This window comes from Homo sapiens, chromosome 2, assembly GCF_000001405.40.
Source record: "Homo sapiens chromosome 2, GRCh38.p14 Primary Assembly".
Classification (NCBI taxonomy): domain Eukaryota; kingdom Metazoa; phylum Chordata; class Mammalia; order Primates; family Hominidae; genus Homo; species Homo sapiens.
Window position 1 is genome coordinate 32,030,211 of NC_000002.12, and position 23,089 is coordinate 32,053,299.

The 23,089-nt window shown below is 45.3% G+C and overlaps 1 protein-coding gene across 11 annotated transcripts in view, besides 2 other annotated features; it reads right to left on the bottom strand.

Annotated features, from left to right (window-relative positions):
• Positions 1–9,625, bottom strand: part of DPY30 (dpy-30 histone methyltransferase complex regulatory subunit) — a 28,187-nt gene extending 18,562 nt beyond the window's left edge. For 8 of the 11 annotated variants that reach the window (NR_135585.2, NM_001321210.2, XM_047446037.1 and 5 more), the window contains exons 1-3: positions 9,523–9,595; positions 9,211–9,282; positions 9,069–9,116 (exon numbers count right to left, since the gene is read on the bottom strand). Coding sequence is in view for 9 of the 11 variants with exons in the window: in NM_001321210.2 (NP_001308139.1) it covers positions 9,069–9,116; positions 9,211–9,246 (84 nt within the window). In the remaining 2 variants the exon portion in view is untranslated. Of the gene's footprint in view, positions 1–9,068; positions 9,117–9,210; positions 9,283–9,382 lie in introns of all 11 variants that reach the window. The other 3 variants (XM_011533133.3, NM_032574.4, NR_135587.1) reach the window with 2 other exon arrangements.
• Positions 9,603–9,782: an enhancer, noted in NCBI's record as "active region_15555". NCBI's record gives its function as "activates an Ori minimal core promoter by ATAC-STARR-seq in GM12878 lymphoblastoid cells {active_cell/tissue: GM12878}" and the evidence as "EXISTENCE:reporter gene assay evidence [ECO:0000049][PMID:35858748]".
• Positions 9,933–10,032: an enhancer, noted in NCBI's record as "active region_15556". NCBI's record gives its function as "activates an Ori minimal core promoter by ATAC-STARR-seq in GM12878 lymphoblastoid cells {active_cell/tissue: GM12878}" and the evidence as "EXISTENCE:reporter gene assay evidence [ECO:0000049][PMID:35858748]".

Here is a 23,089-nt window from a genome sequence, read left to right on the forward strand (position 1 = left end):
TATTCACTGTTGTCATTTTTATGGTTACCCTCTATTTATCACAATGAGAATGTTTTTCCCTTTATGTTTCTTTTTTAAAGAAATATATCCAGCCTGGACAACTGCAAAATCCAGTCTTTACCAAAAATACAAAAATCAGGCCTGGCGCAGGGGCTCACGCCTGTAATCCCAGCACTTTGGGAGGCCGAGGCGGGCAGATCACGAGATCAGGATATCGAGACCATCCTGGCTAACACAGTGAAACCCCATCTCTATTAAAAATACAAACAATTCCCCGGGCGTGGTGGCAGGCGCCTGTAGTCCCACTTACTCGGGAGGCTGAAGCAGGAGAATGGCGTGAACCTGGGAGGCGGAGCTTGCAGTGAGCCGAGATCGCGCCACCACACTCCAGCCTGGGCGACAGAGCGAGACTCAGTCTCAAAAAAAAAAAAAAAAAAAATTATCCAGGCGTGGTAGTGCGTGCCTGTAGCCCCAGCTACTCAGGAGCCTGAGGTGGGAGGATCACTTGAGCCCAGGAGACGGAGGTTGCAGTGAGACGAGATCATGCCACTGTACTCTAGCCTGACCGACAAAGCAAGGCCCTGTCTCTAAATAAATAAATAAATCTATGATTTTTAAAAATGAACAGGTTTAAGAAAATACATTATGTAAATAATAACCCCAAAATGAAGAAAATTATTAACAGAAAAAATCATTAATGTCACACTTAAATGAATGAAGTTTTCCCCATTCCGGCAGGTAACACTAAAAAACAATAATTACAATTAAAAATAAATGAAGTTTAAAAAATAACAAGTTATATTTTCTTCTTCACAATTCCCAAATTTTGGAGCTATCAAATAGATTCGACTGACATTCAGAGCATTAAAAAGTAATTCATTGCCTCCATCGCACTCACATTTTTAAAACTAATGTATTAAAAAATTTTGCGGCCAGGCACGGTGGCTGACTCCTGTAAACCCAGCACTTTCGGAGGCCAAGGCACGCCGACCATGAGGTCAGGAGTTCAAGACAGCCTGGCCAATACGGCAAAACCCCGTCTCTACTAATAATACAAAAATTAGCCGGGCGTGGTAGTGCACACCTGTACTCCCAGCTACTCGGGAGGCTGAGGCAGAAGAATCGCTTGAACCTGGGAGGTGAAGGTTGCAATGAGCCGAGATCACACCACTGCACTCCAGCCTGGGTGACAAAGACTCCGTCTCAAAAAAAAAAAGAAAAATAAAAAATAAAAAAACTAGACAGGCATGGTGGTGCACACCTGTAATGCCAGCTACTTAAGAAGCTGAAACACGAAAATCACTTGTACCTGGGAGGCAGTGGTTGCAGTGAGCTGAGGTCATGCCACTGCACTCCAGCCTGGGTAACACAGCAAGATTCCGTCTCAAAACGAAAAAACAAAGGCCGGGCACGGTGGCTCACACCTGTAATCCCAGCACTTTGAGAGGCCCAAGAGGGCGGATCATGCAGTCAGGAGTTCGAGACCAGCCTGACCAACATGGTGGAACCCTGTCTCTACTAAAAATACAAAAATTAGCTGGACGTAGTAGTGCGCGCCTGTAATCCCACCTACTCAGGAGGCTGAGGCAGGAGAATCACTTGATTCCAGGAGGCAGAGGTTGCAGTGAGCCAAGATTGCGCCACTGCACTCCAGCCTGGGTGACAGAGCGAGACTCTGTCTCAAAAAAATAAAAAATAAAAATAAAAAAATGAAAGAGACAAAAAAAAAAGAAGAAATAGCTCTAAAAGGACAAAACAGTATTCCTAAGAGCACTTTCATTTAAATGAACTTTTGCTTCAATCATACTCAAACTAGATATAAAAGAGTCGACAAAGAAAAATTTTTCTACTTTTAATTTTATTTTGGTAAAAGTGAGAAAAAACCTTTAATCACATTATCTGTAACATATATAGCATGGTTTCCAAAGACACTTCCCATAACTATGTCAGACAACTTCTGCTTATAATTTTTCAATCTAATTTTGGAATTAAAAGATAATTTTCTATGAAATACAAAGTTTTTTAATCTATAAAATACTATTTATTTGTCCATGGACTGAAAATTTTATTTTTCATTATTAAATTTCAACAGATAATTAGCACACCATCATTTCAGAAATGCTAACTGAGCCTTTGTAAAAGTTCAGCTTTCCATTGCAGAAAACACTATACAACTTCATTATTTCTGAAAACTGACAGTATCATCTTGAATGAATTTTCATCCCCTAAATCAAAATCCACTATGTTCAAAACTTCACACTGATCACAACAAAGACAATGCGGCAAACTTCAAAATCTCACAGTGTATTTCCTAAAAACAGTCCTAACTTCCAGTCACAGTATACGTATACAATAAAAACTACTCGGGGCCAGGCACAGTGGCTCACATCTGTAATCCCAGTACTTTGGGAAGCCAAGGCAGGAGGACTGCTTGAGCACAGGAGTTTGAAACCAGCTTGAGCAACATAGTGAGACCCTGTTACCATTTTTAAAAGAATAATTTTAGGCCGGGCACAGTGGCTCACGCCTATAATCCCAGCACTTTAGGAGGCCGAGGCAGCTGGACCACGAGTTCAGGAGTTCGAGACCAGCCTGACCAACATGGTGAAACCCCGTCTCTACTAAAAATACAAAACTTATCTGGGCATGGTGGCAGGCGCCAGTAATCCCAGCTATTCAGGAGGCTAAGGCAGGAGAATTGCTTGAACCCTGGAGGCAGAGGTTGCAGTGAGCCAAGATTGCGCCACTGCACTCTAGCCTGGGCAACAGAGTGAGACTCCATCTCAAAAAAATAATAATAACTTTTTTTTTAATTTTTGGCAGGGCGCGGTGGCTCATGCCTGTAATCCCAGTACTTTGGGAGGCCGAGGCAGGTGGATCACCTGAGGTCAGGAGTTCCAGACCAGCCTGCCCAACATGGTGAAACCCCGCCTCTAAAAATACAAAAATTAACCAGGCATGGTGGCAGGCACCTGTAATCCCAGGCACTCGGGAGGCTGAGGCAGGAGAATTAATTGAACCTGGGAGATGGAGGTTGCAGTGAGCCGAGATCGCACCGTTGCACTCCAGCCTGGGTGACAGAGAAAGTCTCTGTCTCAAAAAAAGAAAAAAAATTTTAACTTGTTAGTTACATGACATTACAATGCCTACAATAGGAAAGCCAATAAGAAAGAGCAATGTGGCCGGGCATGGTGGCTCACGCCTGTAATCCCAGCACTTTGGGAGGCCAAGGCAGGCGGATCACTTGAGGTTAGGAGTTCAAGAACAGCCTGGCCAACATGGAGAAACCACAACTCTATTAAAAATACAAAACTAGCCAGGCGTGGTGGCACATGCCTGTAATCCCAGCTACTCGGGAGGCTAAGGCAGGAGAATCACTTGAACCTGGGAGGCGGAGGTTGCGGTGAGCCGAGATCGCGCCACAGCACTCCAGCCCAGCAACAAGAGCAAAACTCCGTCTCAAAACAAACAAACAAAAAGAGCAATGCCTAAGAAACTCCTATAACTCCTGTAATAAATTTCTTAACCAAATCCTCCCATTTATTTCATGTGAACATTTATGAATTATCTACTATATGCCAATTGTGATGCTCAATTTCACTTGTCAAAATCTTGAACTAACCTAAAAATAGATATAGCCAAACTAACACAAACAAACAATGAGCTGATAAGACAGTGTAGAACAGTGATCACAAAAAGGGGAGAAATTAGGTGAGTACTATGACTGTCCCAGCTTACTGCTTTCTGCTTGGAGAACTTACAGGATAAAGTGTAGGGAGAGAGAACTTGAACAGAGCCTAGTAGTCTCCCTGAGTTGAGAAGACAGTTGAAAATTCTGGAAGACCAAAACAACTAAAATTTGCAAGGCAGAGCACTGAAGAGAAGAAAGGCGCATGGAGACAAGAACTGCACAGAAAGAGACTAAACATATTGCCTTCCAGTCTTCAGGTGAATACTTATCAATAGATGGATATAAGTCAACTACCCAAGGCCAGGGAAACAACCATCTTGTGTTAGTCCATTTGCATTGCTATAAAGAAATACCTGAGGGTGGGTAATTTATAAAGAAAAGAGGTTTATTTGGCCACAGTTCTGCAAGCTACACAAGCATGGCGCCAGCATCTGCTTCTTGTGAGGGCTTCAGGGAGCAATGAATCGTGACAGAGAGGGAAGGGGAACTGGTGTGTCACATAACAAGAGAGGGAGCAAGAGAGAAAGGAGTAGGTGCCAGACTCTTTTTAACAATCAGATCTCACGGTAACTAATAGAGTAAGAACTGACTCATTACCAAAAGATGGCACCAGGCCATTCATGAGGGATTTGCCCCCATGACCCAAACACCTCCCACTAGGCCCCACCTCCAACACTGGGGGTCACATTTCAACATGAGATTTGGAAGGGACAAATATCCAAACTATATTACACCAGGAGGAACAATCCTTGCAGCTCACACAGGCTGGAAACAGTTTGTGTTCCAGTGACACAGGGGAAGAAAATCTCATAATACGCTGGCCACGGTGACTCACACCTGTAATCCCAGCACTTTGGGAGGTCAAGGCAGGTGGATCACCTTAGGTCAGGAGTTTGAGACCGTCCTGGCCAACATGGTAAAACCCCGTCTCTACTAAAAATACAAAAATTCGGCAGGCATGGTGGCACATGCCTGTGATTCCAGCTACTCGGGAGGCTGAGGCAGGAGAGTCACTTGAACCCAGGAGGTGGAGGTTGCATTGACCCAAGATCGCGCCACTTCCAGCCTGGGCGACAAGAGCAAAACTCCATCTCAAAAAAGAAAAATAAAAAAAGGTAAATCGCTTGAACCCGGGAGGCAGAGGTTGCAGTGAGCCGAGAGCACGCCACTACACTCCAGCCTGGGGGACAGAGCGAGACTCCATTTAAAAAAAAAAAAAAAATTATAATGTATCCCTGCCAGGCATGGTGGCACACCTCTAGTCCCAACTACTCAGGAGGCTGAGGTGGGAGGATCACTTAAGACCAGGAGTTTGAGGCTACAGTGAGCTACGATCATGCCACTGTACCCCAGCCTGGGTGAAAGAGCAAGACTCGGTCTTAAAAACAAAAATTAAATAAATAAATAAACAAAAACATTTCGCCGGGCACGGTGGCTCACACTTGTAATCCCAGCACTTTGGGAGGCCGAGGCGGGTGGATCACGAGGTCAGGAGATCAAGACCATCCTGGCCAACATGGTGAAACCTCATCTCTACTAAAATACAAAAAATTAGCTGGGTTTGGTGGCTCCCAGCTACTTGGGAGGCTGAGGCAGGGGAATCACTTGAACCCAGGAAGCGGAGATTATAGTGAGCCAAGATCGCGCCACTGCACAACAGCCTGGCAACAGAGCAAGATTTCATCTTATTAAAAAAAAAAAAACATTTATAATATATTCTATAAGTTCACAATAGAAAAAAGCATAAGTAGGCCAGGTGCAGTGGCTCACATCTGTAATCCCAGCACTTTGGGAGGCTGAGGCAGGCAGCTTACTTAAGGTCAGCAGTTTGAGACCAGCCTGACAAACACTGTGAAACCCCGCCTCTACTAAAAATACAAAAATTAGCTGGGCATGGTAGCGGGTGCCTATAATCCCAGATACTTAGGAGGCTGAGACATGAGAATCACTTCAACCCGGGAGGCAGAGGTTACAGTAAGCCGAGATCACGCCATTGCACTCCAACCTGGCGACAGAGCAAGACTCAGTCTCGAAGAAAAAAAAAAAAAAAAAGAAAAAGAAAAAAGGATAAGTAAACTGATCTTTTTCCTTTTTTTTTTCTGAGACAGGGTCTCACTCTGTCACCCACCCTGCAGTGCACTGGCATGATCCTGGTTCACTCCAGCCTTGGCCTCCCAGGCTCAAGCAATCCTCCCACCTCAGTCTCCTGAGTAGCTGGTACTATAGGCACACACCACCATACCCAGCTAATTTTTTTTTTTAGATGGGGTCTCACTATGTTGCCCAGGCTGGTCTTAAACTCCTAGATTCAAGGAATCCTCCCACCTTGGCCTCCCAACGGGCTGGGATTACAGGCATGAGTCACGTCCCATGGCAAAGTATTTTTTTTAAATAATGGCTGAAATTCTTCCAAGTTTGATGAAAATTCTAAACCACAGATCCAAGAAGCTCAATGAATCCTAAGCAGAAGTATTAAAAGAAAAAAACTGGCTGGGCGCGGTGGCTCACGCCTGTAATCCCAGCACTTTGGGAGGCCAAGGTTGGCGGATCACGAGGTCAGGAGATCGAGACCATCCTGGCTAACACGGTGAAACCCCGTCTCTACTAAAAATACAAAAAAATTAGCCGGGCATGGTGGCGGCGCCTGTAGTCCCAGCTACTCAGGAGGCTGAGGCAGGAGAATGGCATGAACCCGGAAGGCGGAGCTTGCAGTGAGCCAAGATCACGCCACTGCACTCCAGCCTGGGCGACAGAGCAAGACTCTGTCTCAAAAAAAAAAAAAAAAGAAACCCAGTGTCTACTGAAAATACAAAAAAATTAGCCGGGCATGGTTGGCGGGTGCCTGTAGTCCCACCTACTCGGGAGGCTGAGGCAGGAGAATGGTGTGAACCCAGGAGGCAGAGCTTGCAGTGAGCCGAGATTGCACCACTGCACTCCAGCCTGGGAGACAGAGCGAGACTCTGTTTCAAAAAAAAGAAAAAAAACTACACCAAGACACGCCACAACCAAATAACTTTAAAACACTGGTATAAAGAAAATCTCAAAAGTAGCAAGAGAGAAGACGTTATTTATTGACGAGCAAAGATAGGAACGATAGCAAGCTTCTTTTCAGAAACAATGTCCGCCAGAAGACTGTGAAGCAAATCTACAACTGGCAAAATATCTTCTAAAAACAAGGGCAAAATAATGACTTTTTCAGACATTCAGAAGCTGAATTTCTTACCAGCGGATGTGAACTACAAGAAATGTTCAAGGAAGCCCTTTGGGCAGGAGGAAAATGATACCTTTTGGGAAAGATGGAAATCTAGACCTACACAAAACAATGAAGATCTCCAGAAATGGTCAATATGTGGATAAATGTAAAATTCTCCTTTTTTTGTATTGTTTACATATCTTTAAAGTACATATCTTTTTTGCTTTTGAGACAAGGTCTCCCTGTCTCACTCAGGATGGTGTGCAGTGGTGCAATTAGGGCTCACTGCAGCTTCGGCCTCCCAGGCTCAAGTGATCCTCCTGCTTCAGCCTCCCAAGTAGCTGGGGACTGTAGGCACGTACCGTCACACCCAGCTAATTTTTCTATTTTTTTGTAGAAACAGGGTTTGTAGGCTGGTTTCAAACTCCTGAGCTCAAGCGATTTAACAGCCACCATGCCCAGACAACTTTTTTTTTTTTTTGAGACAGAGTCTCACTCTGTCACCCAGGCTGGACTGCAGTGGCACAATCTTGGCTCACTGCAACCTCTGCCTCCGGGGTTCAAGCAATTCTCCTGCCTCAGCCTCCTGAGTAGCTGGGATTACAGGCACTTGCCACCACGCCTGGCTAATTTTTGTATTTTCAGTAGAGACGGAGTTTCACCATGTTGGCCAGGCTTGAATTCCTCACCTCAAGTGATCTGCCCACCTCGGCCTCCCAAAGTGCTGGGATTACAAGCATGAGCCACCACGCCCAGCCTGTATGCTTTATTAAAAAAAACAAGACATGTGTGATTCAGTTTGGATAAATGAGAGTAACAGCATTTCTAAGCACAGTAATAATAGTAATAGCTGTTAATATTAATATTAATATTAGCCACACACACTCTTAAGTAATTTGCTTCTATCTTCAGCCCCATAAGGCCCAGAGAAGTTCAGTAACTTGTTCAAGATCACCAGAAAGTATGTTGGGAGCTGTATTTTCAACCTAGGCAGGTTGGCATTTTTGCAGTAGAATTAACTTGTATTGCTCATTTTCTTTCTTTTTTTTTTTTTTTTTTTGGACAAAGTCTCGCTTTATCACCCAGGATGGAGTGCAGTGGCATGATCTCGGCTCACTGCAACCTCCACCTCTCGGGTTCAAGCGATTCGCGATTCTCCTGCCTCAGCCTCCCGAGTAGCTGGGATTAGTAGAGAGGAGGTTTCACCATGTTGGCCAGGCTGGTCTGGAACTCCTGACCTCAGGTGATCAGCTAGCCTTGGCCCTCAAAGTGCTGGGATTACAAGGGTGAGCCACCGCGTCCGGCCTTATTTTGAGGGGGGGGGGGGCGGGGGGAGGGAAATAGGGACAGGGTCACATGCTGACACCCAGGCTGGAGCGCAGTGGTGCGATCATAGCTCACTGCAGCCTCAACCTCCCCAGCTCCAGCAATACTCTCACTCCAGCCCAGGAGTTACTGAACTCTAAAAAGAAATAAATATTTATTAAATGTTGACTCCACCAGCTCACTATTCTGCTACAAAGACCAACAGGTTTCCTAATTTTATTTTTTACTTTTTTTTTTTTTTTTTTTTGAGACGGAGTCTCACTCTGCCGCCCAGGCTGTAGTGCAGTGGCGCGATCTCAGCTCACTGCAACCTGTCTTCCAGATTCAAGAGATTCTCTGGCCTCAGCCACCCGAACAGATAGGATTACAGTCATCCACCATCATGCCCGGCTAATTTTTGTATTTTTAGTAGAGACGGGGTTTCACCATGTTGGTCAGGCTGGTCTGGAACTCCTGACCTCAGGTGGTCCGCCAGCCTTGGCCTCCCAAAGTGCTGGGATGATAGGCGTGGGCCATCGCGCCCGGCGAAGGGTTTCTTAATTTTAATATGCGGTTTTTACGTAGCAACATCCCAAAAGATCGATTAAAAGCCACCAAGAAAAATGATTCAGACAGTATCCCTCAAGAATATGTGTTTCGCAATAAAAGTTCAATCCTTTGACTCAAACGTAATTTGTACGTCTGTACACCAAGAAGCATTAGTACTGCTAATAAAACAAGCTACCCATAACTTGATACTATTCAGTTCACGATAACAAAGTTTTCCCTTGTGCATAGCCACCTAGTAAAAGCAGATCCCAAGTTTTCTCCAGCTTGCAAGAGACAACACAGATGAGGCATAGGAACTTGGCGAGTTACCTCAACGTTGTCTGTGAGACCGTACTCAGAGTGAGGATTTTCTGCAACCTAGAAAACAAAACACCGGTCACAGAGATATAAGTCCCCCCTTTCTCGCTGCCTCCCTGCACACCGCCACCCTGAATCCACGGCCTCCTGATACCTGCGTTTGTCCCTCCAGCATCTGCTCTGGCTCCATGGCGGACCCTGCAAGTCACAGTCCCCGGATACCAGTCTTGGAAAACAAGAAGAGCCGCGAGTTACCTGGGAGATTTCAACACGAAGACTCCAGGATGGAGTGCAGCCCAGCCCCCGACCCCGCCCCTCACCCCCACCTGGGCGCGGGAGCACCACGAGCAGTAGAGCAGCAGAGTGGGACAGTCCACGACTGGGCGCCTACATGGGGTCTGGAAACTCTACGACAGTCCCAAGTACCTAGAATAAGTGAGAAAGTGGGGGAAAGGGAGCTGATTACCCGCGCCCAAGCCGTTCGTTCTTAAGAGCCCTGCACCGCGCCACCAGCTCCCAGCACAAACAGCTCCGGCCGTAAGTGACGGCTGTCGCACGACTGCCGCGCCTGCGCAGAACCTCCCGGCGGACAAGAAGCTGGGAGGCGCGCAGAACCATCGTCAGTCCCCGAGGCTCTCTGCAGTCCGCGTGAGTCCTGGCCAAGGTCTGGCCTCGGAAGCTACGAGCTACAATCTTCCTTCATCCTACCCACCCACGAAGAGCGCCACCCCAGCTGCAGACCAAGTGACCAGCCCAGTTAGAAGGGGCTCGGCCGGATCAAACCTCGGTGCTGCCTCAAAGCATCTGCTGAAGCTCTTCCTCGACCAACTGAACTTCCTCACTGAGTGGTTCTTACTAGAAAATTATAAGCCCAGTCTGACAGTCTCTGAAAGAATGTCAGTGTTTTACTGTAAAGCCAAAGATGGGGGAAGAAGCAGTTTTGGGGGTTTCCTGATCAGCTTTTATTCAAGCCCTTAAATCTGTGAATATGCGATGTTAATGCCACCTTACATTTGTATTAGATTAGCAGTATGCAACTGGCTTTCCAAACCGTGGTCCTACTGATAGTAATGTAGTTGTAAAACGTACATAGGATAATTTGCCTCCTACACAGTGTGTAAATAGCAAACAACATCTCTTTACTTGGATTTTTTAAAATTCCAATAAATTCAATTTATTTTAATGTAAACAAAAGTGATAACACGCAAACTTCCTGCCTTTGACACAATTCTATTTGTAATTGCACTTTGTAATATGAAAACTTGAAAACATTTGGAGTAAATGATGGCATAACAATATGGTGGAATATAAGCGATTAAAATTAAAAATTGTGACTACATATACAGAAATATGGTGTACCATTGAGTTTTACTTCCAGCTGGCGTTAGACTACAACTTAATATTGCTACTCTAAAAAATCGTGGATACAGATCTAAAGTAAATAAAATTTGGTTAAGAGCTAGACATATAAGTAAGTTTTTAAAGTTTCGCAGTGTATACTTAAATAGTATTGTGATTGGTGACAGCTGTCATGTGGAACTTTGAAGATTTTTCATGTAATGCTGATTCAAACGTGTATGCCTATGTGCAGGATGTATAAATTGCCTAGTAGATATATTAAATTAAGATTAAATGCTTTTCAAGAGTGTGAAATAAAAAGGGCATACATACAAGTAGAGAATGATTGGGACTTTTTTTTTTTTTTTTTTGAGACAGAGTCTCGCTCTGTGGCCAGGCTGGAGTGCAGAGGCATGATCTCGGCTCACTACAACCTCCGATTCCCTGGTTCAAGCGATTCTCCTGCTTCAGCCTGCTCCTGAGTAGCTGGGATTACAGGCACGCACCACCACGCCTAGCTATTTTGTGTGTGTGGGCGTGTTTTGTTTTGTTTTTGTTTTTGTTTTGAGATGGAGTCTCACTCTGTCGCCAGGCTAGAGTGCAGTGACCCTCTTTTTTTTTTTTTTTTTGGCTCACTGCAACTTCCGCCTCCCAGGTTCAAGCGATTCTCCTGCCTCAGCCTCCCGAGTAGCTGGGACTATAGACGCGCGCTACCACACCCAGCTAATTTTTGTATTTTTAGTAGAGACAGGGTTTCACCATGTTGGCCAGGATGGTCTCGATCTCTTGACCTCGTGATCCGCCTGCCCCGGCCTTCCAAAGTGCTAGGATTACAGGCGTGAGCCACCGCTCCCAGCATATTTTTGTGTTTTTAATAGAGACAGGGTTTCACCATGTTGGTCAGGCTGGTCTCAAACTCCTGACCTCGTGATCCGCCCACCTCAGCCTCCCAAAGTGCTGAGATAACAGGCATGAGCCACTGCGCCCAGCCCTTAATTTACATTTTCTAAGTACTGACAGTTTTGGTAAAGTAGTAAACTAGAAGAGCTCCTTCAGGGCAGGGGACCATGTCTTAGATATCTTTATACTTCACAACATGCTAAATACATTGTAGGTGCAGAATACATATTAAGTTGGGCTGGTTCATAGTCAAAATTTGATATTAATATATGCACTGATACTTCGAAAGCAAAAAGAGAAAAGACATAAAAATGTTTACTGAAGGCAGCAGCACAGAATAATCAGCTATCATCCAGGTTTCCATCCATCCAGGTAAGAGATACTGATGTGATTTACCAAAAAGCTTCACTGAAGTTTTCGCATTTAAAACTCACTAATTGATAGCGGGTCGTGATGCACATGCCTGTAGTTCCAGCTACTTGGAAGCTGAGGCAGGAGGATTGCTTGAGCCTGGGAGGTGGAGGCTGCAGTAAGCTGTGATGACAGACCAAGACCCTGTCTCAGAAAAAGAAAGAGAGCTGGGTGTGATGGCTTACGCCTGTAATCCTAGTACTTTGGGAGGCCAAGGCCAGGAGATCACAACGAACCTGACCAACACAGCAAGATCCCCGTCTGCAATTTTTTTTAATGATTAAAGAAATTATTTTTTAAAGGAAGAAATAGGAAGTATAAAATTAATTGAAGATACTGCAGAATGCTGAGTTTTAATGTGAAATTAATTATTCTAAAGATGACTTGGAAACATGATTGTAACAGAAATTTGCAGTAATGTGTACTGTCTGGAGAGGGGTAAATTAAAAGAATGAGAAGACAGCCTGGGCAACATTGTAAGAACTCGTCTCTACAAAAAAATTAAAAATTGGCTGAGTGTGGTGATGCATACCTGTAGTCCCAGCTACTCAGAGGCAAAGATTGGAGGATCACATGAGCCCAGGGAGGTTGAGACGTAAACTATAACCACACCACTGCACTCCAGCCTAGGCGACGGAGCAAGACCCTGTCTCAGAAGAAAATAGAAAGAAAATGAGAAGAACATTTAACTCTTATTTGGACTTCCACCAAATTTTGTTCAGGACTTCTTTCATCAGCTTCTTACACAGCCATTTATAGTACTTAGCTCATTCTGCTTTATATTTTGCTTATGTGTAAACACAATTAGATTTTGAGTTGTTTAAAGGCAAAGACTTTATTCTTTTTTTTTTTTTTTTTTTTGAGACGGGGTTTCACTCTGTCATCCAGGCTGGAGTGCAGTGGCGCGATCTCAGCTCGCTGCAAGCTCTGCCTCCTAGGTTCATGCCATTCTCCTGCCTCAGCCTCCCGAGTAGCTGGGACTACAGGCACCTGCCACCACTCCCGGGTAATTTTTTTGTATTTTTAGTAGAGATGGGGTTTCACTGTGTTAGCCAGGATGGTCTTGATCTCCTGACCTCGTGATCTGCCCACCTCGGCCTCCCAAAGTGCTGGGATTACAGGCTTGAGCCACCGCGTCCGGCTATTCTTTATTTTTTTAATGATTCAAGGATTTATTAAGTCATACATACAAAACATACTGCTAATTGCATTACCAAAAGATTAATATAAAAACACTCCACAATTCTGCAACTGTCCATTTAAAACATGTTGTTCCTGACTGGGCGCGGTGGCTCATGCTTATAAGGCACTTGGGAGGCAGAGGCTAACGGATCACCTGAGGTCAGGAGTTAGAGACCAGCCTGGCCAATATGGTGAAACCTTGTCTCTACTAAAAATACAAAAAATTAGCTGGGTGTGGTGGCTTACACCCATAATCTCAGCCACTCCAGAGGCTGAGGCAGGAGAATCCCATGAGCCCGGGAGGCGGAGGTTGCGGTGAGCCGAGATCATGCCACTGCACTTCAGCCTGGGCGACAGAGCAAGACTCTGTCTCAAAAAAAAAAATTGTTCTAAGTGGTTGAAAGGTCCAATGTTGTATTTTTGCCAGTGAGTTAAGTTGTACAGAACAAGCCAGGCACAGTGGCTCCCACCTGCTAATCCCAGAACTAAATCGGGTAAATTGTTTGAGTCCAGGAGTTTGAGACCAATCTGGAAAACATGGTGAAAACCCATCTCTACAAAAAAATACAAAAATTAGCCCGGTGTGGACCTCTAGACCCAGCTACTCGGGACACTGAGGTGGGAGGATTGCATGAGCCCAGGAGGCGGGGGTTACAGTGAGCCAAGATTGCGCCATTGCACTCCAGCCTGGGCAACAGAGTGAGACCCTGTCTCAATAAAAAATATATATATATGTCGTACAGAAAATCATGAAGACTGCACAGTTTACAGAATCTTACAGACCCAAAGGGACATTGTTAGGCAAAACAACTACAGGAGGTGTGTATCCACGTGGGTGAGGTAAAGAGGGTCAATATTAGTCAAATGACAGTGTCCGTAATCCAGCAACAGAGTGATGTTAAGAAAGTTCATAGTTTAATAACAGTAACTAAAATATTTTGAGAACTGCAAAGCTGCAACACATCATTTTTACACCTAGTTACTACAGAACTCAGGAAAGTACTTACTAGCTTTGAATAAAGTAACACGGAAAGCACTTTTACTAAATTACAAAAAAAATTCTAACGCATTATCAGAAAGATTTTATAATACAAGGAGGCACATTGCTCAGTAAGAAAGGGCTCTATAAGAAAAGCAACGGCCAGGTGCGGTGTCTTACGCCTGTAATCCCAGCACTTTGGGAGGCCGAGGCGGGCAGATCACGAGGTCAGGAGATCAAGACCGTCCTGGCTAACAAAAAATTAGCCGGGCATGGTGGCGGGTGCCTGTAGTCCCAGCTACTCAGGAGGCTGAGGCAGGAGAATGGCGTGAACCCAGGAGGCGGAGGTTGCAGTGAGCCAAGATTGCGTCACTGCACTCCAGCCTGGCGACAGAGTGAGACTGTCAAAAAAAAAATCACTATGAAATCAAAAAGACTCATCAAAAGAACTGAAATGTTACACCCAATCTATTGTGATATACAGTACCATGTTATGTCATGAACATGTGCTGATGAATTACTAGTGCTTTAAATGGCAATGTTTCATTAACCAGGCTGTTCTGCTTTACATATCTGAAAATTAGTTACAAAGTATCTCTATCTCCTGGCCCGGTGCAGTGGCTCAGGCCTGTAATCCTAGCATTTTGGGAGGCTGAGGCGGGTGGCCCACCAGAGGTCAGGAGTTCGAGACCAGCCTGGCCAACACAGCAAAACCCTGTCTCTACCAAAAATACAAAAATTAGATGGCCAAGGTGGCGTTCGCCTGTAATCCCAGCTACTCGGGAGACTTAGGCAGGAGAATCACTTGAACCTGGGAGGCAGAGGTTGCAGTGAGCCAAGATCATGCCACTGCACTCGAGCCTGGGGGACAGAGGGAGACTCCGTCTTAAATAAATAAATAATAAAACCTGGTTCCTTGTTTGCCATGTGGGATTAGGCAAATCTTTTAACTCCTCTGAGCTTCAGGGTTTTTGTTGTTGTTGTTGTTTGTTTTTGAAACGGAGTCTCACTCAGTCACCCAGGCTGGAGTGCAGTGGCGTGATCTCGGCTCACTGCAATCTCCACCTCCCGGGTTCAAGCAATTCTCCTGTCTCAGCTTCCCAAGTAGCTGGGACTACAGGCACACACCACTGCAACCGGCTTATTTTTGTATTTTTAGTAGAGACAGGGTTCCACCATATTAATCAGGCTAATCTCAAACTCCTGACCTCAGGTGATCCACCTGCCTCGGCCTCCCAAAGTGCTGGCATTAAAGACATGAGCCACTGTGCCCAGCCAAGCTTCAGGGTTTTTTTGCATGTAAAATTGGGATAATTTTTACTTCATAAGGAGGATCAAATGAAATAAGATAGAGGAAACTGAGCCAAGCACAGTGGCTCACGCCTGTAATCCCAGCACTTTGGGAGGCCGAGGCAGGTGGATTGCTCGACTTCAGGAGTTCAAGACCAGCCTGGGCAACATGGGAAAAACCCATCTCTACTAAAAATATGAAAAATTGGGCGGACATAGTAGTGCACGATTGTAGTCCCAGCTACTCAGGGGCGGAAGCGAGAGGATCGCTTGGAAGAGTCTAGGCTGTCCTGATCACACCACTGTACTCTAGCCTGGGCAACACAGCAAGACCCTGTCTTGAAAAAAAAAAAAAAGATGAAACTGCTTTGTAAACTGAAGTTACACAAATGTAATTGAAATTCATTTTGTCTTATCTACATTACTTATCAAGCCACTTCATTAGCTTTTTAATTTTATTCATTTATTTATTTATTTTTGAGACAGGATCTCACTCTGTTGCCCAAGCTGGAATACAGTTTTGCAAACTTGGCTCACTGCAACCTTCACCTTCCAGGTTCAATCGATTCTCCTTCCTCAGCCTCTCAAGTAGCTGGGACTACAGGCGCATGCCACCACACCCAGCTGATTTTTGTATTTTTAGTAGAGAGGGGGTTTTCCCATGTTGGCCGGACTGATCTCAAACTCCTGGCCTCAAGCGATTTACCCACCTCGGCCTCCCAAAGTGCTGGGATTACAGCACTTTGTAAGCCACCATGCCCGGCCCTTCATTAGCTTTTTACTTTGTTGTTTTAAAATAATTTGCAGGAAAGAAATTATTCAGAAAAATTAAGAACTTGATCCAGCACCCACCCACACCCACCTACCCCACCCCACCCCCCAACACTCACATACAAAAATGTATTTGCAAATAAATACATAGAATTTACTGAGTGTAAATGGGCCCTCTGAGTACAATGTGTGGGGAGGGACACCCAACCACCTCTCAAGAAGACCTAGAAATATATGTTCCAGGTTAGGTAAGTCACTTTCCAGAGAAATAAGAGAAATATCTCTTTGTGGCTAATATTGGAAGGCAACCACTCTACCTGTAGCTCCCTTGTCTCTACTACCAAACAACATGCCCAAGCAATCTTACCACCCATCTCAGAAATTTTGGTATATATGGCCGGGCGCGGTGGCTCATGCCTGTAATCCCAGCACTCTGGGAGGCGGAGGTGGGCGGATCACGAGATCAGGAGATCAAGACCATCTTGGCTAACATGGTGAAACCCGTTTCTATTAAAAATACAAAAAAAAAGTAGCCACGCGTGGTGGCGGGCACCTGTAGTCCCAGCTACTCAGGAGGCTGAGGCAGGAGAATGGCGTGAACCTGGGAGGCAGAGCTTGCAGTGAGTGAGATGGTGCCACTGCACTCCAGCCTGGGTGACAGAGCAAGACTCCATCTCAAAAAAATTAAATAAATAAATTTTGGTATATCAAGGAACATACCAAATGGGTTTTTGAAAGGCATGAATATAGTGTGTTCCTTTGATTTTTATGATACACAAGTGATCTCAACGATAAGAATAATAAAACTGGACGCGGTGGCTCACACCTGTAATCCCATCTCTCTGGGAGGCCGAGGTGGGTGGATCACTTGAGGTCAGGAGTTCCAGACCAGCGTGGCCAACATGGTGAAACCCTGTCTCTACTAAAAATACAAAAAAAAAATTGGCTGGGTGTGGCTGCACACACCTGTAATACCAGTTGCTAAGGAGGCTGAGGCAGGAGAATGACTTGAACCCGGGAGGTGGAGGTTGCAGTGAGCCGAGATTGCGCCACTGCATTCCAGTCTGGGCAACAGAGCAAGACTACATCTCAAGGAAAAAAAAAAAAAGAGAGAGGATAATAAGAATTAATGAAAAGGCAACCTTACTGACATTTCAAATCCTTAAATTGCCAATTGTTTCTGCCACTTCTTGTATGAGGCTATATTTAGATTTTTTCCTAAAACGTCCTAATTTTCAGTCTTAATTTTTTAAATGTTTTTTCTATCTTTTTAGAGATGGGTTCTCCATACGATGTCCAGGCTGCAGTGCAATGACTATTCACAGGAGCAATCTTAGAACACTGCAACCTCCAACTCCTGGCCTCAAGATATTCTCCTGCCTCAGTTTCCCAAATAGCTGGGACTATAGGTGCATGCCACAGTGGCGGTGATTTTCAGTTTTTAAATGTGTTGATTTTATGCTTTCCTTTTCAATCCAAATTATTATCACTTAAATTAATGTTCATAAATAGGTCATGGGTTATTAAGTGATAGGCAAAATACATAACTTTGATATCTCTTAATTTTAGGTTGCCCAAAGCCATTCCATATTAATTTAAATTGAAACCATTTCCCTTTTAAAAGACAAAGTCAGAGGCCAGGAACAGTGGTTCATGCCTCTGTAACCCTAGCACTTTGGGAGGCCAAGGTGGGAGAATTGCTTAAGCCCAATAGTTAGAGACCAGCCTGAGCACTATAGTGAGATCCCATGTCTTTAAAAAAAAAAAAAAAAAAAAAGACAAAGTCAGACAGTAAAATGGAGATTAATAGTGATGCCACCTGACCGGGCATGGTGGCTCATGCCTGTAATCCCAGCACTTTGGGAGGCTGAGGTGGGCGGATCACTGGAGGTCAGCAGTTCGAGAGGAGCCTGGCCAACATGGTGAAACCCCGTCTCTACTTAAGCTACAAAAATTAGTTGGGCGTGGTGGCACACGCCTGTAATCCCAGCTACTCGGGAGGCTGAGGCAGGAGAATCGCTAGAACCCAGGAGGTAGAGGTTGCAGTGAGCCAAGATTGCACCACTGCACTCTAGCCTGGGCAACAGAGCAAAAACTCTATCTCAAAAAAATTTTTTTTAATGTTCTGCCATCCAATGTTAACACAAGACTGTTGTTTAAAATGTGCTCCCCTATAAGACTGAGTCCAGTGGCTCCTGCCTGTAATCCCAGCACTTTGAGAGGCCGAGGTGGGCAGGTCGCTTGAGGCCAGGAGCTCAAGACCAGCCTGGGCAACATGGCCCAGGAGTCGGAGACCAGCACGGGCCACAAAATGAGACTCCTTCTATACAAAAAATATAAAAAGTTATCTGGGCATGCTGGCACGGTCCTGTAGTGCTAGCTACTCGGGAGGCTGAGGTGGGAGGGTCACTTGAGCCCTGGGAGGTCAAGCCTGCAGTGAGCTGTCCTCACGCCACTGCACTCCAACCCGGGTGACAGAGTGAGACCCTGTCTCAAAAAAAAAAAAAAAAATGCCGGGCATTGTGGCTCATGCTGTAATCCTAGCACTTTGGGAGGCCGAGGCGGGCAGATCACATGAGGTCAGGAGTCTTGAGACCAGCCTGGTCAACATGGTGAAACCCCGTCTCTACTAAAAATACAAAAATTAGCCGACCATGGTGGCATGAGCCTGTAGTCTTTGCTACTCGGGAGGCTGAGGCAGGAGAATCGCTTGAGCCCAGGAGCCGAGATCGCACCACTGCACGCCAGCCTGGGTGACAAGGCAAGACTCTCAAAAAATAAATAAACAAATAAAAATAAAATAAAAATAAATAAATACTTGATATTTATAATATCTATAATATATCTTGATATCTATAATATCTCAATTGCCCAGATTTGATCATTACACAGTGTACGCAAGTAAAGTATCAAAATATCACATATACCCCTCAGATATGTACAATATTATATATCAGTCAACAAATGGGATGAACTAAAATGAAATTTATTATTATTATTTTTAGAGATGGAGGAGTCTCGCTCTGTTGCCCAGGCTGGAGTGCAGTGGCGCCATCTTGGCTAACTGCAACTTCCACTTCCCGGGTTCAAGCAATTCTCCTGCCTCAACCTCCCGAGTAGCTGGGACTACAGGCGCACGCCACCACGCCCGGCTAATTTTGTATTTTAGTAGAGACGGGGTTTTCACCATGTTGCCCAGGCTGGTCTTGAACTCCTGAGCTCGGGCAATCCGCCTGCCTCAGCCTCCCAAAGTGCTGGGATTACAGGCATGAGCCACCACACCCAGCCTATTATTTTTACTCGTTCTTCACAATCTGTTCCCAGAAATTTTCACTTTGACACAATAATTCTACTTCTAGAATTTTATCCTATGCAAATATGCAAAGATATAAATATATTTATTATACCTTTGCGAATATGCAAAGATATAAATATATTTATTATACCTTTGCGAATATGCAAAGATATAAATACATTTGTTATACCATAGTTTTTATTTATATTTATGTATTTATTTATTTGAGAGGGAGTCTCGCTTTGTCGCTCAGGCTGGAGTGTAGTGGCACGATCTATGCCCATTGCAACCTCCATCTTCCAGGTTCAAGCAATTCTCTCGCCTCAGCCTCCCAAGTAGCTGGGATTACAGGTGCATTCCACTACACCAGGCTAATTCTGTATTTTTAGTGGAGACGGAGTTTCTCCATGTTGGTCAGGCTGGTCAGAAACTCCCGACCTCAGGTGATCCGTCCGCCTCTGCCTCCCAAAGTGCTGGGATTACAGGCGTAAGCCACCGAGCCCAGCCAAATAGGTAGAGTTTTTAATTATAAGTAACACATAAATCAATGAGAAGAATATTTATGTGAGTAATGGATCTAATTCATTGTATAATAGTATTAAAAAAATATCTGGGCCGGGCGCGGTGGCTCATGCCTGTAATCCCAGCACTTTGGGAGGCCAAGGCAGGCACATCAAGAGGTCAGGAAATCGAGACCGTCCTGGCTAACACGGTGAAACCCCGTCTCTACTAAAAATACAAAAAATTAGGTGGGCGTGGTGGGGGGCGCCTGTAGTCCCAGCTACTGCGGAGGCTGAGGCAGGAGAATGCCGTGAAGCCGGGAAGCGGAGCTTGCAGTGAGCCGAGATAGCGCCGCTGCACTCCAGCCTGAGCGACAGGGCAAGGCTCCGTCTCAAAAAAAAAAAAAAAAAAAAAAAAAAAATCTGTGCCGGGCGCGGTGGCTCATGCCTGTAATCCCAGCACTTTGGGAGGCTGAGGTGGGCAGATCACGAGGTCAGGAGTTCGAGACCTGCCTGACTAACATGGTGAACCCCCTTCCCCGACCACCCTCCCCCTGCCCCCGCTCTACTGAAAATACAAAAAATTAGCTGGGTGTGGTGGCCGGCGCCTGTAATCCCAGCTACTCGTGAGGCTGAGGCAGGATAATCGCTTGAACCCGGAAGGCGGAGGTTGCAGTGAGCCAAGATCGCACCACTGCACTCCAGCCTGGGCAACACAGTGAGACTCCGTCTCAAAAAAAAAAAAAAAAAATCTGAGTTCAGCCTTTCTTCTTTCACTAAAGCATTTAGTAAGCATCTATTATTTGTTGAGATCTCATGGAGAGTGTGCAGAGAAGAGTTAACACAGCAAGTCTAAGACTGCTATCCTTGGAAAGGCCTGCTTGCAAAATTGGACCTTGGCTGCTAGTGTCTGAGAACTTTTTTTTTTTTTTTTGAGATGGAGTCTTGCTCTGTTGCCCAGGCTGGAGTGCAATGGCGCAATCGCAGCTCACTGCAAGCTCCCCCTCCTGGGTTCACGCCATTCTCCTGCCTCAGCCTCACGAGTAGCCGGGACTACAGGCGCCCGCCACCACGCCCAGCTATTTTTTTTTTTTTTTTTTTTTTTTTTTTTGTATTTTTAGTAGAGACGGGGTTTCACCGTGTTAGCCAGGATGGTCTTAATCTCCTGACCTCATGACCCACCTGCCTCAGCCTCCCAAAGTGCTGGGATTACAGGCATGAGCCACCGCGCCCGGCCTGAGAACTTAAATAATAGTTTCCCAGCACTTTGGGAGGCTGAGGCGGGTGGATCATGAGGTCAGGAGTTCAAGACCAGCCTGGCCAAGATGGTGAAACCCCATCTGTACTAAAAATACAAAAAAATTAGCCGGGCGTGGTGGCAGGCTCCTGTAACCCCAGCCACTCAGGAGGCTGAGGCAGGAGAATGGCTTGAACCCGGAAGGTGGAAATTGCAGTGAGTCAAGATCGTGCCACTGCACTCCAGCTGGGGTGACAGAGTGAGACTCATCTCAAAAATAATAATAACAGTAATAGTTTCCTACAGTGATAGAAAACTTTTCCTCCTTTTATTTATTTATTTATTTATTTATTTTTTGAGACAGTGTCTAACTCCTTTGCCCAGGTTGGAGTGAACTGGCATGATCTAGGCTCACTGCAGCCTCCACCTCCTGGGCTCAATCGATCCTCCCACCTCAGCCTCTCCAGCACCTGGGACTACACGCATGCCCCACAACACCTGGCTAATTTTTCTATCTTTTGTAGAGATGTGGTTTTACCATGTTGCCCAGGCTGGTCTCAAACTCCTGGAATCAAGCGATCCACCCACCTCAGCCTCTCAAAATTCTGGGATTACAGGTATAAGCCAAGGCGCCCGGCCAAAACTTTTCCTGAATAAGAGTAGCTCACTGTACCTAAGCTGTACAAACAATATGGTGTATGTTAAGCACCCACCTTCCTTCTAGGAGTCTGGAATTTTGATAGGTGTTAGGCAGAGGGTGCCGATATGACTAGTCCCAACAAAAAGCCCAAGCACTGAGTTTCTGATGAGTGTTTCTGGTAGACCGCATTTTACCCACGTCCTCTGAACCTGTTGCTGGAGGAATTAAGCATATCCTTTGTTGACACTACTGGGAGGACTCTTGGAACCTTGTTTGCACCTGGTTTCCTCCAGACTTTGTCCCATGCACCTTTCCTTTTGCTGATTTTGCTTTTCAGGAGTTTGAGGCCAGCCTGACCAACATGCTGAAACCCTGTCTCTACTGAAAATACAAAAATTAGCCGGGCATGGTGATGCGGGCCTGTAGTTCCAGCTACTTGGGAGGCTAAGGCAGGAGGATGGCTTGAACCTGGGAGGCGGACGTTGCAGTGAGCCAAGATCGCGCCGTTACACTCCAGCCTGGGTGACAGAGCGAAGCTCTGTTTCAAAAAATAAATAAATACATTGAGTCCTGTGAGTACTCCTAGTGAAGTGAATCACCTAAGTGGAGGTGATGTTGAGGATCTTAAACAGTTGGGAAGTTTAGAGTAAATATAAATTGCAGTCCCTGCCCTCATAAACTTGTATTCTAGGTCAGCTACATCAGACATATACATGTGATACATTTAAATAACAATACAAGATAGTAAGTGATTAAAGGTTAAGATGAATGACCCTAAAGTCTGAAGAAGTTCAGGCTGAGCATAGTGGCTCACACCCGTAATCTCAGCATTTTGGGAGGCTGAGGCAGGAGGATCACTTGAACTTAGGAGCTCTAGACCAGCCTCAGTAACGTCATGAGACCTCATCTCTACCAAAAAAAAAAAAAAAAAAAAAGGTAGCCAGGCGTGGTGGTGAGTGCCTGTAGCCCCAGCTACTCAGGAGGCTGAGGTGACAGGATCACTTGAACCCGGGAGGTAGACGCTGCAGTGAGTTGTGATTGTGCTACTGCGCTCCAGCCTGGATGACAGAGTGAGAGAGATCCTGTCTAAATTTTTTTTTTTTTTTTGAGAGACAGTCTCGCTCTGTCGCCAGGCTGGAGTACAGTGGCACGATCTCGGCTCACTGCAACCTCTGCCTCCTGGGTTCAAGCCATTCTTCTGCCTCAGCCTCCCAAGTAGTAGGTATCTTTTGAACAGTATTGAACCAACAATAAATTTTTAAGCAAAGCCTCAAAGGAAAAATCCTGTATGGGAGGGCTGGGGAACATGATACAAATGGAAACATTAATGAAGAGAGTAAGTGGAGAAACGGGTATCTGACAAGACAGAGGGTCTCAGAATAAGAGTCTTTCCCAAAACACTGCAGTTGCTAGCAACTACCTTTGAAAACAGACAACTCCTTTTATGTGTCCCAGCATTTACCTGGTGCTAACATTTACTCTGCTTTTCA